At 36.7% G+C, this 18,827-nt stretch overlaps 1 protein-coding gene across 18 annotated transcripts in view; it reads right to left on the bottom strand.

Moving 5' to 3' along the window:
• Positions 1-18,827, bottom strand: part of RYR2 (ryanodine receptor 2) — a 791,805-nt gene that overhangs the window by 451,426 nt on the left and 321,552 nt on the right. For all 18 annotated transcript variants that reach the window (XR_007062490.1, XR_002957299.2, XM_006711802.4 and 15 more), the window contains 4 exons: positions 18,191-18,205; positions 12,955-13,029; positions 7,768-7,846; positions 5,128-5,240 (listed from right to left, as the gene is read on the bottom strand). Coding sequence is in view for 16 of the 18 variants with exons in the window: in XM_006711802.4 (XP_006711865.1) it covers positions 5,128-5,240; positions 7,768-7,846; positions 12,955-13,029; positions 18,191-18,205 (282 nt within the window). In the remaining 2 variants the exon portion in view is untranslated. The remainder of the gene's footprint in view (positions 1-5,127; positions 5,241-7,767; positions 7,847-12,954; positions 13,030-18,190; positions 18,206-18,827) is intronic.

Genomic DNA, 18,827 nt, shown 5'->3' with positions numbered 1-18,827 from the left:
ACATCACACACCGGGGCCTGTTGTGGGGTGGGGGGAGGGGGGAGGGATAACATTAGGAGATATACGTAATGTAAATGACAAGTTAATGGGTGCAGCACACCAACATGGCACATGTATACATATGTAACAATCCTGCACGTTGTGCACATGTACCCTAGAACTTAAAGTATAATAAAAAATAACAATAAAAAATAAAAAAAGAAATTTAGAGTTGGGTAAGAAAGAAAGAAATTTTTTGAACTGTAGAATAGCTTTCTCTTAAGCATTTTCCATCACCCTTTAGATAAGCATTCTGCTTTTCCTAATATATTTTCAATCAGTTGTTTATTTGGCAATGTTTTCACAGATCCGAAAAACTTGGCCTGTTTCATTAAGTAACCTGATCAGTAGAAAATCAGTTGGAAATCTACATTTCCAGTGCAAACAATCCAATCCACAGATTGAAAACATTTGGGCTTACTGGAGTGATTTTTACACCTAACACACAGAAAAAAATTGTTTTGTAAGATTCATTTTGTTTAGTTTGAAATAAATTCAGTCAGTAATATCTACTTGGCCATGTTTTTTCTATTTTAAATTGTATATTTCTCTTAAGGTGCTTTGCTAAGGCCTTCTTTAAAAGAAAATAAGATTTTCAATGAGCAAAAAAAATTCTTTCCTTTTGGATATTTTTGAAAAGAAGATTAACATATCCTTTTACCTCAGAACATAAAACAGCAAAAATGAGAAAAGACATTATCTGGGTGAGGCGTTTACAACCATTTTTAGAGCTTAAGACCCTTTATACCTCAGAATTGAGCCCCAATGTTCAACATATAAAGCAGACAACGGTGCAGCAATCCCAGGTGCTGTCCACAGTATCCTCTTCTGTCCACAAGGCATGTTCTCAGAGGACAGGGTGAAAACCAACCCTCTCAACCAGCTTTCATCAATTTAGCATTGTAATAGTTGTATTAGTGTACCCCATGCACTATTAGTTTAATCTTAGCTTAACCATCGCTGTTAGTGAAAGAAAAATCGCTCATCGGTCAATAGACACTGATCACCAAGGAGTTGTAAAATCAATGACTGGAAATGTTTATTTTTAGAAGTTAGTTTTAACTAATTTGTTATCAGACACATTGTTAAACTTACTTATTTTTAACAACACCAGCATCTCTTCAGAAGATGAACCTTGCTTTCACATGATAGATCTTTAGTTAATATCACCTATAATGTTCCTTTCACTGTTTCTTTCCCAACTATCTCTTCTTCTGGTTAAATATCTGCTGTTTCTTTAAGCATTCTTTTTTTTTTTTTTTTTTTTTTTTTGAGACGGAGTCTCGTTCTGTCACCTAGGCTGGAGTGCAGTGGCATGAGGCACAATATCGGCTCATTGCAACCTCCGCCTCCCCAGTTCAAGCGATTTTCCTGCCTCAGCCTCCTTAGTAGCTGGGATTACAGGTGTGCACCACCAAGCCCAGATCATTTCTTTTTTTTCTTTTGAGATGGAATTTCACTCTTGTCGCCCAGGCTGGAATGCAATGGTGCGATCTCAGCTCACTGCAACATCTGCCTCCTGGGTTGAAGCAATTCTCCTGTCTCAGCCTCCCAAGTAGCTGGGATTACTGGCACCTGCCACCACGCCTGGCTAATTTTTGTATTTTTAGTAGAGACGGGGCTTCACCATGTTGGCCAGGCTGGTCCTGAATTCCTGACCTCAGGTAATCCACCCGCCTCGGCCTTCCAGAGTGTTGGGATTACAGGCATGAGCCACCGCGCCTGGCCTAATTTTTGTATTTTTTAGTAGAGACAGGGTCTTGCTTTTTGGCTATGCTGGTCTTAAACTCCTGGCCTAAAGTGATCCTCCCGCCTTGGCCTCCCAAAGTGCTGGGATTACAGGCATAAGCTACCATGCCTAACTTCTTTAACCATTCTTAACAGGCACAAATCTCCCAAGTAAATAGTGACAGTAACTTACTAAATAATTTTTATGTGCCATTCACAGAACTACGAGCCTTGTTGGATTCCAGCATTTAATCCCGTAACACCCCTATGAGTTAAGTTCTTTATTATTCCCCAGACTCCAGATGAAGGAACTGAGGGTTTCTAAAGGTTACATGATTAGCCCAGGTTCATACTCACCAGACTTCGTATTTACTATATATATATATATATATATATATATATATATATATATATATATATATATATATATATATATTTGTGTATTCTACAAGGCAAGTGTGCATATATATACACACAGCCCAACTTTAGTTATTCAGGGTTTATTCTATAGATTATTTCAACTCCCTCTGCCTATCCCAAAGTCCTTTCACGAACTCACTTCTTGATCTTTCAGTTTCTCTAGATCCTTTTCACTGAGTCCTCCAAATAAGTCTTTGAATCCACACCATAGTACTTCATATACCCGCTACTATCCACCATGGTGGGAATGTAAAATAATAATTCACCATCTCTATACCCATAGGAATGTCCTTCAGCATCTCTAAGCTATACTGTAATGCGTATTTACTGTCTTACAATATCCTCATACAGCTCTGTATGTGTTTGATTTGTTTTCTCCACTAATTATTTGAGGTTAGAAAGCATGAGTGATGTGTCCTTGGCCTTTCCTGTTGTTTCTGCTATATGCTAGGTCCATAGAGATCAACAATAAAAGCAACGACTTCATTATCAAATGAAAGTGAAATTTTAACAACCTGGTTGGCTGCTCTCTTATAGCTCCATATAAAAGATTACCAGGAAAGAGAACATAAATAATTGGCTATGTAGCACAGGCTGGGCAAGGTGTGGCTCATGCCTGTAGTCCCAGCCACTCGGGAGGCTGACTGGGGAGAATAGGAGGTTGAGGCTTCTGTGAGCTATGATGGCCACAGTACTCCAGCCTGGGCCACAGGGCAAGATCCTGTCTCAAAAAATAAATAAAATAAAATAAAAAAAACAATAAAATGTAGTTTGGAAATCACTTGTAAATTTTAATTAATCATGAGGTTTATTTCCTTCTATAGGAGGTAAACCTCACTTATCATCATTATTATTGCTTTCACTTGTGTAGTGCTTTTTAATTCTGCCCATATTTAAATCCATTATCTCATTGCTTCCTCACAATAACCTTGGCACTATGCATGATTATCAGCATCAACCTCATTTTTTACAGATGAGAAAGCCAGAGTTCAGAGAATTAGATGACTTTCTCAGGTAGTTAGTTGTAGAATAGATGTTAGAAGTCCTGGCCCTGTGAGGTCTGAATTTTCCATTTTTCAGTGCATAATGATGCCATCCTGTCAAATAAACTCTGATACGTAGCGGAAGTACAAATTGTAAAACAACAACAACAACAAGAAAAAATTCATAGTTATGTCAAAATCTAAATAAAGTATGTGTATAATTTATATATTAAAAGTGTGCATGAATTATTTCTACTGCTATTGGTTTCCAGGTACAACTACAATTCAAAATGCATATCTGATCAAAATACATCATCTTAACATACATAGCACATGCATATAGCAAGAGCTTAATTAATGCTTATTTTACAATCTGCACACCTGTATTGTCCTAGAAATTCGCATGGTGACTATTTCTACCTACATTGGTTAAGGGACAAAAGTAGAAAAATGCTCCAGGTCTCCCTATAGCTACGCAACATCAGACACTCCATTTAATTTAATAGTTTCTGTCAGTTACACGAGACACTGTTATACCATTTCCTTGTCTTCATCATTACCTCTTCTACAAGGCAAGTGAAACAAAACAAAACCAATCTTCCTAGAAATGTTTCAAATCTGGAATTAAATGTATTGGTAAACCAAAACTGACTTACAACATCCCCAAACTTACCCTATTTCATGTTTATAGAACAAAGGGGGTATCAACTACTTACTTAATCCTAAACCAGTAACACATGAACTACATTTTGATTTATGGTAGTGGTAAAATACTTTCTATAACCCGGTATCTGCTAAATTGCCACATGCCCTATTTCAGATTTTTGTTTCAATCATCACACACTGTGATGCCTGGGATTTTTCATGTGAATATTCATATAAAGTTTACAATGCCCCATTTTATATTTATTTAGTCACCTTTCAACCTTAAAATGAATATTTTGCTCTAGCATCCTTCACATCTTCATTTCAACTTACTTCATTTCAATTTACTGTAAACTTCTGTATTGGACTACTCTCTGGCAAAACTACAACTTACTAAATAAGTTAAATTAAATACATATTGACCTTACCACAAAAGTTCAAAATGCATTTGATATGGTTCGGCTGTGTCCCCACCCGAATCTCATCTTGAATTCCCACATGTTGTGGGAGGGACCCGGTGGGAGGTAATTAAATAATGGGGGTCAAGTCTTTCCCATGTTCTCATGATAGTGAATAAGTCTCATGAGATCTAATGGTTTTAAAAAGAGGAGTTCCCCTGCACAAGCTCTTGTCTCTTGTCTGCTGCCACATGAGACGTGTCTTTCACCTTCCACCATGACTGTAAGTCCAACAAACCTCTTTCTTTTGTAAATTGCCCAGTTTTGGGTGTGTCTTTATCATCAGCATGAAAACAGACTAAGACAGCATTTCATGATTAAACACAAACTTCTTCCTTCATTCTCCCATTTCCAGCCCCTACTCTTTGAAACAATGCAGTGTCAATGATAGACTTCAAACTATTTCTTCTTTTGTCTATTTCTCCCTTCTTAACATGGCATGTGTTCCTCACATAATAATTTGCTTTCATAAATATCAGAATAGGTAATCACAACCTCATTAATATAGCCTTTTCATCAGGTGCAAAATAAAGACCATAGAATTTTTAATTCCTGATTAGACTGCATTTACATTCTATCAATAAAGTAATTTATTAAAAGGTACTATCAATATCATGAACATGCATATCAAGGTTATGAGGGAAGCCTGCCTGAACAACCTGATAAGCTATATTTGCACCCACATCACATTATTCTTCCGTTTAGGAAGTTATTTATAATTAATCTAATAGAGATAGAGGAATGGTTATAAGCAATTTTCATAGATAATTTACAATATAAACCTTAAAGAGATCATTTTATTGACTTGTCATTTAGCATATCAGCAGATACATGATCCTACTTTCCACACTTACCAAGTACCTTTCAGAGGACACGCTAACTAAGATGAGGTCATCTCCAACTCGTACTTTTTCTCCTTCTGATCGCTGCTTAGAGGCAGGGTGTATGGTCCACCAACAAGCCTCCCCTGCAGATATACGGATATGTGAAACATGAAAAAGTTCCTCTTAATTAAAATCTATTTTCTTTGCCAATGATTCCCAACACACAACTTTCAGAAATCCGGAATTAATGCAAATTAATCTCTTACACCATGAAAAGAGAAAGAATTAAGCCTTAGCTTAGGATAAAATAAGATTCTTCTCCTAGAAACTGGGTGTGACACTTAGGGAAGGTTGATGTCTTTTTCTTCCACTAAGAATTGCTTTAAAGCGATGTTTATTTATACTCATCTAAGGCTAAATTCACCACTCACACTGATCTGATTTCATTCTTTACACACTCACATGTCATTATACTGTCCAATTCCTTTCTATAAAATCATCTTGTTTTTTGTCAATTTTCATAAGGACTTGGGGTTTTGTGACGTGACAATTGTAACAATTTTTTGAAAATGTTCTCAGTAGTTATTTTTGGATGCTGACTCAAAAAAGGATGCAAAGTATTATCATCTAAAGATTGTACTATCCTGTCCCCTTTCTACTTTATTATTTTAAAATGTGGTGTTTTCTATTAATCTAAAGGTAACATATAAGAGAATCCTTCTAAAGAAAAATGAATTATAAAAGATCTTGGTTTACATCAACCAAACAATTTCTTCTAGCACAAGTCAAGCATAAGCCTCATGAGCCACATGTCTCTTCTTCACTCTTTCTTCCCAATACCTAACATAGAAGCTTCAGCATGCCATTCTTCATTCTGTTCATAATACCTTTGAAAACCTAAATGCAACTTCTATCCCAAAATCAGAGGAGTGTTTTCATGATATCCGTCATCATTTACCATTCTTTACCTTCACTCAACTTTATGGTGTTTCCATAACTCTTTTTTTTCCTAATTCCTCAATGCCAGAATGTAAGTCCCTAACAGTGGGACTTGGTATGTTTTGTTTACTGAGGTTTCTCCAGCTCCTGCTAGCCTATTATAGGCCCTCACCACAAATTCATTTTGCATGAGTGAATAAGTGAATTACCAAGCAATATTTTGTAAGTATTCTTACAGTCAACATGTAATCTGTGTTTTTTCTTACATAAACCATAGTCTAACTTGCTTTTCTTACACAAACCATAATCTAACCTGAATGTCACCTGGCAGAATTCTTTATCTTCATTCATCCAATTCACATTTTTACAGTTGCAGGTAGCTTTTCATCCATTCAAACATTTATAGTGTACCCACTATTGGCTAACCATTGCTTTAGTAGCTGGGATACATCAAAAAAGAAGGAAGAAAAAATTATCTGCCTTGTGAGTTTAATTCTGATGAAGGCAGGCAGACAACAAATAATAAATACAATAAATAATTGAGGAATTCAGAAGAGGTAGGGAACTACGGGAAAAAACAGAGTAGCATAAGGAAATCAGGACGCAGGGAGAAAACACTGACTTGTTTTGTTTTGACTATTACATAATCTTCTCAATGTATGAAAACAAATTCTAGACTGCGTCTTTTACTTCTTTTGAAGAGAGAACTGACAACTTTCTCATTTAACTGTGTGCTGAAATACATTAACTAGAATAAGAAAACTAAAAAACTAGCAAAAATACAGAGGAATGATAGAGCCTGTACAAAACAAAATCAGAATAATATATTTATTTATCTTTCTGGTGCCAGGGGTTCTTGGAATTTCTTTTATAAGACGATGCATTGGTCTATTAAAAAGTTTATGAGGCTGGTAAACATAGCTTTGTTTTCACCTTTTTGTTGTTTGTAAAAGATTTAGTAAATATGGGTAAATACTTTTAAGAGGGGGAGTGGAGTGAGAGGATAGCTTGATCTCACTCTTGAAGGGAACAACTTAATAAAAGTTGAACTATTTCCTTCCATTCTTTTTTCTACTTGGTCTTTATTTTTAATTACAAAGTGATGCATGCTCATTGTAAAAGACAAAACAGTCCAATTTTATAGGGATATATAAAGTCAATGCAAAGTCCTCAGAGTATTGAGAAGAACATCAAGTTTGTGTTCTCCTATTTTGATTCTCCAAAAAAAAGTGTTAATATATACATTTTTGTTTCACAAATCTGAAAATGCATGTCTGCTTGGACAGGTATGTAGAATAATGCCCTGTGGGCAGAGAAATTAAGGAGACTTTCATTTTTTATCTTTTTATTTGAATGTTGGCATCAAGTATGTTATATTTTCAGACTTAAAAACATTTTTGAGAGAGACATGTAGAATTACTTCACAAACTAATTAGTGTACATTAATATGGCTAACACCCAGTAAATCATGTAGTAAATATTAATTTTCTATCCAAACCTACAAGAAGAATAAGGTTTGAAGCCTAGTTTGAACATCCAACTAATGATGTGGGAATAACCAAGAGGAATGATATACACTTTCCCCTTCTAGGAAAAACTTTCATTAGAACATTCTTTCCTGACTCCATCCATAAGAACATTCATCCCATGTATCGTATTTCCCGGCTTCTTCCAATCCAACCCCTGCAGGGTTCTCTCTGAACCTGGCTTCCCGCAGCACAAGATGCTTACCTGTGGTGTCCTCTTGCAAGCCAACATCAAAAGCCAGCTTATCAGTTGAAGACCGGGAGGTGGACAGGCAGCACAGATACTACAAAGTACAAAATCAGTAGTTGTAAGTAGAGGTTTTGTTCGTCTGTTGTTTGTGTTTGAGACAAGGTTGCTCTGTAGCTCAGGCTGGAAGTGCAGTGGCGTGATCACAGCTCACTGCAGCCTCAACCTCCTGGGCTCAAGCAGTCATCCCACCTCAGCCTCCTGAGCAGCTGGGACTACAGGCACATGCCACCATGCCTGGCTAATTATTTTCTTTTTTGTAGAGATATGGTTTCACCATGTTGCCCAGGCTGGCCTTGAACTCCTAGACTCAAGTGATCCTCCTACCTCAGGTTCCCAAGTAGCTGGGACCACAGGTGTGCACCACTACACCTGGTTAATTTTTTTTTTTTTTCCATAGAGATGAGATCTCCCTATGTTGCCCAAGGTGATCTCAAACTCCTAAACTCAAGCAATCTCCCACCTCCACTTCCCAAGGTGCCGGGATTATAGGCATGAGCCACAGTGACCAGCCATCGTTAAGGTTTATAGTTGTACCAGCAGAGTCTTATTCTGACCTGTAATTTGGCATCCATCTATCCCTACTGTTCTCACTGTTTTCCTGAAAATCTGGATGCTTCTGCACAAAGCCCAGATTTTTAAATGTCTGTGAGGCAGAACAGCATGCATTAGGGGCAATATCCTAAAGGAATTGTAGTCTTTTCTTCCCTTATAAAAGACAAAGGAAATGTTCTCTGTCAGTACAGGAAGACAAGTAACTGGGGATGTATTTGTACATCTCTCACTTCATGTGATATTCATGATCATCTGCAAAAGTACAATGTAGTCTGACAGTTAGAAATCTTTCTCCCAAACAAATTTGAAGACTATTCTCTTTTATCTTCTAGTTTTGTTTCCATTTAAAAATGTTTAACTCTTTGAAATCCACCTAGAATTTATTTTGGTGCACAGCATGTCACTGCACTAAAATGAGGTTTATTGTGTGTCTACATACACGTGCATTTCCACAGGAGTAATCACTCTTGCAACACCATCATCTCCTTATTCTTCCCACCCTTACGTGTTCCTAACTGTATATTCTTGGACATAAAGTTTAGGATCATTTTTCAAGCCTACTGCTCCCCAACCCCCATGCCACAAAGTGTTGTAAGAACAGAGACACAAAGATGAATGTGTTGTAAGAACAGAGATACAAAGACGAATGTGGTAGGAACTCGAAGTACACTACCATCACGAAGCAAGTGCACTGCCAGCAAGCCCCCTTTAGAATCACTGGAAAAATAATGCAAAGGCTAGAAATGTCTTATTATGGTACAGGGCCCATCCAGCTAGGTGTGTGTCTGTGAGTGTGAGAAGGCAGATGAACCAATCGGTGGCAGATATGCTGGTATGTTAGGTGGAATTCAGTGCCATGGGGATGTGAAATCAAATTGACCTGCAGATTCTGATTCTGACTCTTAACTACAAAGAAATGGCTCCCAAGGTTATAGCCAAGAGGCTCCCAGGGTCCCTAAACTTGTTTTTAGCCACAGCAGAAATGTCAGTCTGACCTCAAGACAGGTAGCCCACGATAATCCCCTATGTTTATAGACTTTAAATATAAATTGTGCTTAACATCTGCCTTTATTTTTTAAAAAGGTAACAACTTTGCAATAATCAGACTTCCCAGACAAACATGAAGTGATTCCTATTAAAGTCTTTTGTAATTTTTTCAATAACAAGTACAGTATTAGGCACTGTACCTATAACTATTAACATATGCTTTCTCCTTAATGTTTCTAGTAACTCTGAGGTAGATACTATGATTATTCTACTAAGTGTTAATTAAAGAGAGCAAGAACTTGGTCTTATTCACTACTATATCCAGGACCTAAAACAGTACCTAGCACATAGTAGATGCCAAATAATATTTATTTAATGAATGTATAAAAATTTCAGGTGTAATTACAGGCTTGATTATGCAAAATATCCCAGGCTGTCCAGCATGTGGCAAACAGACTGAATCCAAATCTAACAACCAAGTTGAGGCTCTTAACCCAACTATTATGTATAGAGAGTAGTTGTCTTAAAAGAAACCCTCACATTTATTAGCTCATGCAGTTCATGTGTTTTGATTGCTGTAGAATGTGGAATTGTTTTCATTAAATTTTAATATGTGATTGCTCTATACAAATTGTTTTTACATATTTTTCTTACATCCAACCACTTTATGAAACTGTTTTATGTTGTTTTATATCTTGACATGTCAGCCAAAATTTCCAGAACAATGTTAGTTAGCAATGGTAGATAAAACATATTCTTATTTTAGTTAATTTGATTTAAAAAATGGCTTCAGCATTTCACAATTACAATATTCACTATTGATCTGACACTGATAATCTTTATCACTGAGGAATTAATCAATGTTTAGTTTTCATTAAGAATGAGCATTGAATTTTATTAAAAACCTTTTCCAGCACTTGCTAACATGATCACAAGTTTTCTTATCTGACCTATTCATGTGATGTAACACATTAAAAGAAATGATATTATTAAATCATCATTAAAATCACGTCCATGTATTTCCTATACTTCTCATCCTATACTTTTGAATTTCATTAAATAGACAATTAAAATCAAATTATCACATAAATATCCATGATTGAGATTGAAAATTTGTGTGCCCTTGTTGGATAGTGGTATTTTTTATTTTTATTTTTTATTATACTTTAAGTTCTAGGGTACATGTGCCCAATGTGCAGGTTTGTTACATACGTATACATGTGCCATGTGCCATGTTGGTGTGCTGCACCCATTAACTTGTCATTCACATTAGGTATATCTCCTAATGCTATCCCTCCCATCTCTCCCCACCCCACGACAGGCCCCGGTGTGTGATGTTCCCCTTCCTGTGTCCAAGTGTTCTCACTGTTCAATTCCCACCTATGAGTGAGAACATGCAGTGTTTGGTTTTTTGTCCTTGCGATAGTTTGCTGAGAATGATGGTTTCCAGCTTCATCCATGTCCCTACAAAGGACATAAACTCATCCTTTTTCATGGCTGCATAGTATTCCATGGCGTATATGTGCCACATTTTCTTAATCCAGTTGGATAGTGTTATTGATACGTAGTCTTCTGCTTTAGAACAATTTACATAATACAGGAATCATCTACTTTTTAAAAGGAATGATCAAGTATATTATTACAGATATTGTATAATATTCTAGATATTGAACTATCATGTTGCCACTAAAATTATGTTGACAATATAAACAACATGGAAAATGCTTATGTTACAAGAAAAGGAAAAGAAAATCATGCCGGGCATGGTGGCTCATGCCTGTAATCCCAGGACTTTGGGAGGCCAAGGCGAGAGGATCGTTTCAGCCTGGGAGCTCAAGACCAGCTTAGGAAAGATGGTGAGACTCCCATCTCTACAATAAATTTAAAAATTAGCCAGGCGTGGTAGCACACACCTGTAGTCCTAGCTACACAGGAGGTTGAAGCAAGAGAATCACTTGAGTCCCGGAGTTCAAGGCTATAGTTAGCCATGATCATACCACTGCACCTCAGCCTGGGTGACAGCAAGACCCTATCTCAAAAAACAAAATGATATAAATTTGGTAACGTAGTAACATCTCAATTATGTTTAAAAAAAAAAAGCCTTAAGGACAGAAGAGATTAAAACTTTTTTTAAAAGCCTCCAACAGTTTTTTCCTATTAGTGTGATCAGAATTTTTCTTCTGCAACTTCCAAATCGTATAGAATATGTATTGCTTTTATAATTTAATAAAGCTCTTATAAGAATGGAATGAGGCCGGGCGCGGTGGCTCATGCCTGTAATCCCAGCACTCCGGAAGGCCGAGGCAGGCGGATCACCAGGTCAGGAGATCGAGACCATCCTGGCTAACACGGTGAAACCCTGTCTCTATTAAAAATACAAAAAATTAGCTGGGTGTGGTGGCGGGCACCTGTAGTCCCAGCTACTCAGGAGGCTGAGGCAGGAGAATGGCGTGAACCTGGGAGGCGGAGCTTGCAGTGAGCCGAGATCGCGCCACTGCACTCCAGCCTGGGCAACAGAACCAGACTCCGTCTCAAAAAAAAAAAAAAAAATGGAATGAAACTTTTGCATATTTTTAACATATTTTATATACAGTTGACCCTTGAACAACACAGGTTTCAACTGCACGGGCCCACTTACTAAGATGTTCTTCCCCCTCTACCATTCCTGAGACAGCAAAACCAGTTCCTCCTCTTCCTCCTCCTTAGCCTATTTGACACGAAGACAATGAGAATGAAAATCTTTATGATGATCCATTTCCACTTTATGTGTAGAAAATATTTTTTTCTTTCGATATTCTTAATATTTTTTCTCTAGCTTACTTTATTATAATACAGTATATAATACATACAAAAAATATGTGTTGACTGGTATTGGTAAGGCTTCTGGTCAACAGGGGGATATTAATAGTTATCTTTTGAGGGAATCAAAAGTTATATGTGACTTCCTACTGTGAAGGAGATTGGCACCCCTAACTCCTGTGTTGTTCAAGGGTCAGCTGTATATGTAATAGCTAAGAATACATTAAAGTATTTATAAAATATATATTTAAAACATTTACATATATACACATATATATGTGCATATATACATGAGGCAAAGAATAAGAAAACTGTGCCCAAGAGAAGCCTAGTGAATAACTGGGTGAAAGGAGGAGCAGATGTGGTAAAAGAGAAACCTGGTGAAGAAGAAAAAGAAGTTGGTGAGTACAATTAATATTGGAGCTCACAGGTAGATTTTCTTAAATCTGATCTTTCAATAAAGATACCTTATTTCTCTAATAAATGAACTCTTCAAAACAAAATCAGAAAAGAAAATATCTCTTATTTGACTCTTACACCTCTCTCCTCCTAAAACTACTCTATCAAAAGTAAGATACTGAAGATGGTAATCATATAATGATAGAATTAAAGGACCTTAAAAGTCATCTGAGCTGACTTTCATCTTTTACATGAGAAACTAACAAGGGTACAAAGATATGAAAGAACACAAACATCCAAGCTCATTAATACCATTGCAGAAATGATGCTACCAGCATTTGCAGACCATGTACCCCCAAATGGATCAGCATGACCACAGGGAGATGAAATCAAATGCCTACTCACCATGCCACTATAGGAATGGCGCAGCAATATGGCATGTCCGTAGAGGAGTGTTCGATGACCACCACCTTGAGCAGTCTTTAGAGAGAAGAGAAAAAAGGAGAACAAGAGAGAAAAACACAAAAGAGTAACTTAACCAAGTTGATAAAATACTCTCTTGCTCTCAAAGGAACGTTAGTAGGAAAGAATGTATTAAGAGCTCTTGCAGACAAGCAAAGTGCTGTTGAAATAATGTATACATTGGAGTAAAGTTAATGTAACCTCTATTATGGGATTAGCATTTTATCTAGTTCTTGAAAAATAAACTTGGTATCAGTAAATAATTATCATAATTATAGTTATTTACTCATAATGTACTTAATAATAATCTCTTTCCCATTATATTATGGTTTCCACTGGGTGGGAACCATGGTACCTTAGTCACCATTGTATTCCAGGTGCCTACCTGCATGCGGAACATACAAGAGGCACTAAATAAATGTTGATTCAGGCCAGGCGTGGTGGCTCATGCCTGTAATCCCAGCACTTTGGGAGGCCGAGGCGGGCGATTACCTGAGGTCAGGAGTTCGAGACCAACCTGGCCAACATGGCAAAACCCCATCTCTAGTAAAACTACAAAGATTAGCTGGGCGTGGTGATGCCTGCCTGTAATCCCAGCTACTCGGGAGGCTGAGGCAGGATAACTGCTTGAACCCGGGAGGTGGAGGTTGCAGTGAGCTGAGATTGCACCATTGCACTCCAGCCTGGGCAACAGAGCAGGACTCTATCTTAATAAATAAATAAATAAATAAATAAATAAATAAATAAATAAACGTTGATTCAACGAATGAGTATTCCTAGAACACAAAATTGATCATAATGCCTCCAGGCTTAAAAACTTCTCATTCCTCCCAATTGCTTATAGGGAAGAGTCCAATCAATCCCTTTCCATGAAATAGAAGAGTGCTTCTTAAATTGGAGAGCTTGTAAAAACACAGATTCCTGGCCCTTACCACTGGGATTTTGATTCAGTAGGTCTGGGGTAGACACAGAGAAGTTTCATTTCAATAATTTTCCAGGTGATGCTGATGCCGTTGGTCCAGAGACTACTTTGAGAAGCACAGAGAGACATTTGTCTCACTCATCTCTAGCCTCATCTTCAATCATCCTGTGCTCCAAACATACCCACTTTCCCTTCCCTGAATATGCCATACTGCTTTCATGCTGCCCCATCTCGGAATACAACATTCCCTCTCTCTAGTCTTCCCTGCCTTATAAAGCCTTTTTAATAGGAAAGCCTCCAGTAGTTTTTTTCTATTAGTGTAATTGAAGGATTTTTCTTCTGTAACTTCCAAACTGTATAGAATAAATATGTATTGATGTTATAATTTAATAAAGTTTTTATAAGAATGGAATGAAACTTTTACATATTTTATGTACATGTGACTCTTTAACGACACAGGTTTGAATTGCACAGCCCCATTTATACTCAGATTTTTTTCTCCCTCTACTTTTTAAAACTCTGATTAAAGACTACCTTCTCTATGAAGCCTCATCCAGTTTCCTCAAAGCTACTCACTCTCCCCATCCTCCTGCAGCCCTAGGTATACACATGTACATTGGCCTTACACTCTACACAAGAACCCTCCTCCCCTTGATCAGACTGAAAACTCCTGAAGGACAATGACGCTGTCCTGATTATCATTTCACCTCCAGCTATGAGCGTGAGGTCAGGCCATGGTAAGTACTCAGTAAACAACTGTCAAATGAAAAACTGGATATGGGGAAGCTCACTTCAGGCTGAGTAAGGAGTATGTATAAAGGGGTCATGGTATATAATCACAAGGTGTGTAAGAAGGAGGAAGCAATCATGGAATTTTAGTGTTGGGTTGCACAGAAAAACTTCACAGGAATTATAAAATTAGATCAGGGAAAGACCATGGAAGGTACAAAATATTATGACGAGAAGTTTGTAATTCTTTTTGCAGGAAAAGGAGGTCTTTAAAAATTTTCAGAATAAGAGTGATGATACTGACCTGTGCCTTAAGAAGTACAGAAAGATGCTTTAATATCCAATATTATTACAACCTTTTTATTAAACAAATATCACATTCTTGTTGTTCCATATAGTTTCTCAAAATAACTTTATGTTTTGTTTGAAAAAACTCAGAACTATTCTAAAAACAGATATTAAAAGGTATTAAAATAAGAAAAACTGCTGAAAAACCACTTTTTTTGGGGGGCCAGACGCAGTGGCTCACGCTTGTAATCCCAGAACTTTGGGAGACCAAGACAGGTGGATCGTGTGAGGTCAGGAGTTCAAGACCAGCCTGGCCAACACTGTGAAACTAAAATACAAAAATACAAAAATTAGCTGGGCATGGTGGCGGGCGCCTGTAATCCCAGCTACTTTCAGGAGGCTGAGACAGAAGAATGGCTTGAACCCGGGAGGCAGAGGTTGCAGTGAGCCGAGGTCACACCGCTGCACTCCAGCCTGGGCAACAGAGCGAGATTCTATCTCGAAAACAAAAACAAACAAAAAAACAAAAACAAAACAAAACAGTCACTTTTTTCACATAACTGAGAAGAAAAGGGAAAAATCTACTTTGAAAAACTATACTCCTTCAGAGAATGAGGCTGTCTTTAGAGAGCACTTTTTTTTCTATAATGCATTTGATTTATTGTGGCCAAGAACAATTTTATTTACTTTGTCTGGTTTGAATTACTTTGATAGAAGCTCACCTTTTCATACCAGATTTATGTTCCAAAGCTATAAAATCCACGTGAACTTTAATAACACTTGACAGCCACACTAGTCAAAACAAAATGTTTTAAAAGTGAAGGACAAGGTCTTGAAGTTAACCAGAAAGTGCTCCTTTTACCGTAAAGCTTGGCCTACACATTTCATATATATATATATACAGTGTGTGTGTGTGTGTGTGTGTGTGTGTGTGTGTGACTAAAGAGGTTTACACACACATTAAAATTACTGGCTCTATATTTTGTTCTTTCTGGTTTGCTTTTTTTGTTTTTTGGCTCTGTGTTTTTTAAATACAGTTGGCCCAGAGCAAGGCAAAGTGCCTCATGCTTGTAATCCCAACTACCTAGGAGGCTGAGCCCAGAAGATCACTGGAGCCCAGGAGTTCCAGGTTGCAGTGAGCTATGTTCATGCCACTGTACTCCAGCCTGGGCAACAGAGCAAAACCCTGTCTCTTAAAAAATAAAATAAGTAGTGAATCACACAACAGGGTCACCGAAGGACTGTAACAATCCATGAGAATCCTGGCCTCAGTTGAAGATAAAGGTGCCTGCAAAGGCCAGTTTAACATTGTCAAGACATCCATTTGACATGGACTGGCTTACTTGGGATGGTGTCTTCATGGAAAGTCTCCTCAGGGAACAGATCAGGCTTAGGACAGTCCTAATGCATCACTGTTTAGCACCAACCAGCAGAAATAGGCTCCCACAACAAGAAAGCATCCATCTGGTTCTAAGAAGTTAATGCCTTTTCCGTATGAAACCCAAAGCAAAGCATGATGATTGAAAGGTGAAAGCGAGATAAAATTCAGCATGTTTTTCTGTTTACGTGACTTAAATTACTGTAATTGCATGCATATGCCCTCCCCTTAATCCAATTCTAACCTTTCCAGATCATCCATTGCAAGTGTGAAAATAACTATTGGCCTTCTGGCCTCGAAGTTAAAAGAACTGGGGGCCTAATTAAATTATTTTAGGCATACCACCTGCTTTTAACTAATTCTACATCATCTTTCTATTTGCACTGGTTTTTATATGCATTTGTTCTCACAAGAGACCTTCAGATGTCTGTTTCAGGCGACCATTTCATTCACCCTTCCCAAGGGGAAGTCCATACAATATTGTACAGTTGAATTAAGAATGAGATGATAAAATGAATACAGCAAATGCAGATTTAGCAGGAAAAACTAAATTTTCTCAAACCCCAAATCATAAGTTATCAGTATTTGCAAAGAGAGGAAATATTCCTATTTTGCTGTTGTTTTAAATATTTTTCCAACCCAAACTCTTGTTTCATGATACGTCTAATTTAGGGATTAACGTCCTCTCTTCAAAATGTGATCATAATATTTTCTACTGAAAAATAAGAGCTAGAGTTATTTGAAATTCTGGAAGATGTTCCACGTCCTGGTTGATAGATGGCTTCAAAGAAATACTCTGTTCTGTCATCCCATCCAAAACGCCGAATTCGCACTGGTAGTGAACAGGTCCAGGTTAGGGTGTCCCACAATGCACCTGGTTCAGTTTTATTAAACATGATGGATTTAACCACAAAATTCAACAGACTGACAAGAACGCGCTTCCTTTTCTTCAAAGCAATCTTTTCCATCTATATCTGGAATTTTGATTTAATATTTCTCACAGTCTCTTTCTTTCAAAATCATAAATTCTTTTAAGCCTTTATTAATGGAATATCAATCAATTTTTCTACCTACCCATTGTTTCTTGGCTTTTAAGATAAAAAAATTAAACCCCATAAATGTTATAGGAGAAAGGTAGTGGGCATACAAAAATGAAACAAAAATTTTCTATTATATATCCTAAAATAACCATAGTCTACTCTTCCTGTCTGTCCCTTACATATTCCTTCGATGACATGTCCACATGCTTTACTCTTTTCATTTGTCTACTTTTACAATATTTTCACTTTTCCAATTTAGTTGAGAAATGAATAAGGGGCTGGCTGAATTATTTTCACTTCTCCTGGAGTAAGTAGAAGTAGTTTCTTGGTGCCTCCCCTAATTTCCCAGTGGAAGAATTTCCCATTGTATTCATGCAAAAGGGCATAAATGCAAAGTCAACATAATCCCCAGAGTGAATATTCTAAATGGAGAGCTACTAAAATTGTTTTAATAAGAGAAATTCTTAATGTTAGCTAATTAAATATAATGTTACAATATGACCCAAAAATGTCAAATGTTGTTTGTTGAGTTGTTAAATCTAAACGTGATTTATCTAAATTTAAAAGCTCCAAAGCTTGATTTTTAAAAACCTTTTAAAAGCATGTGAAGAAAAGTTACATGGATTCAAAAGTAAAACAAATGTGTATAACCATACAGAAAACATACAAAGTACCACATATATATAGCTGATATATAGTAATATATATATCTGTCATATATATAATACAGCTATACTAATATGCAGATACATACATATATAATCCATATATAGTAATATATCTGCTATATATATACATAGCATATATATTAAGATGTCTTACCTTCATCATGAATTTCTGTAGGGGCATAAGGAAAAGAGAGGAAACATTAAATAGACACGATCTCAAAGACTTCCTTAAAAATATCTCTTATTTATAAAGACTCCGTTATCCTAAATGGAGCTATGTAAACAATAAACATAAAAAAAAACATTCACCATGTTATCGCAACAAAACTTAGTATCAACTACATGCTAGAGAAAAGCCGTAGCAAGCAAAACTCTTTAAAAATGTTTTGACGTTAGTTTCTTCCTTTTTCTGTGAAAACATGCTGCTCTACTTTCAGTGATTCCATTGACAACCTATTTAAGCACCAAAAAAGGTATCATCTTAAAAATTGATCCTCTGCAAATGCTTTTTAAAAAACCAACTTGCATCTTTTGCATAAAAATGCAGTGATAAAAACAAACAGCAACCCAACTCATTTTAATAAAAACAGTAGATTAAAACAGGTAAGGTAGATCGTAAACTAATATGCTGCAATGAGCGGCTCTCGTTTCATGCAAAATAACAGTAAGCAATTTCTTAGACACTGAATATTGTGAAAGGTGAATTTCACAGAAAAATCACAAAAACATTTCTTTTTCTCTTAAAATGACACAGTCTCCTTTCATAAATTATATAATAGCTCTTTTTTCTT

The sequence above is a fragment of the Homo sapiens genome, chromosome 1 (genome assembly GCF_000001405.40).
Source record: "Homo sapiens chromosome 1, GRCh38.p14 Primary Assembly".
In the NCBI taxonomy this organism is placed as follows: Eukaryota; Metazoa; Chordata; class Mammalia; order Primates; family Hominidae; genus Homo; species Homo sapiens.
This window is presented reverse-complemented; position numbering and strand designations above follow the sequence as displayed.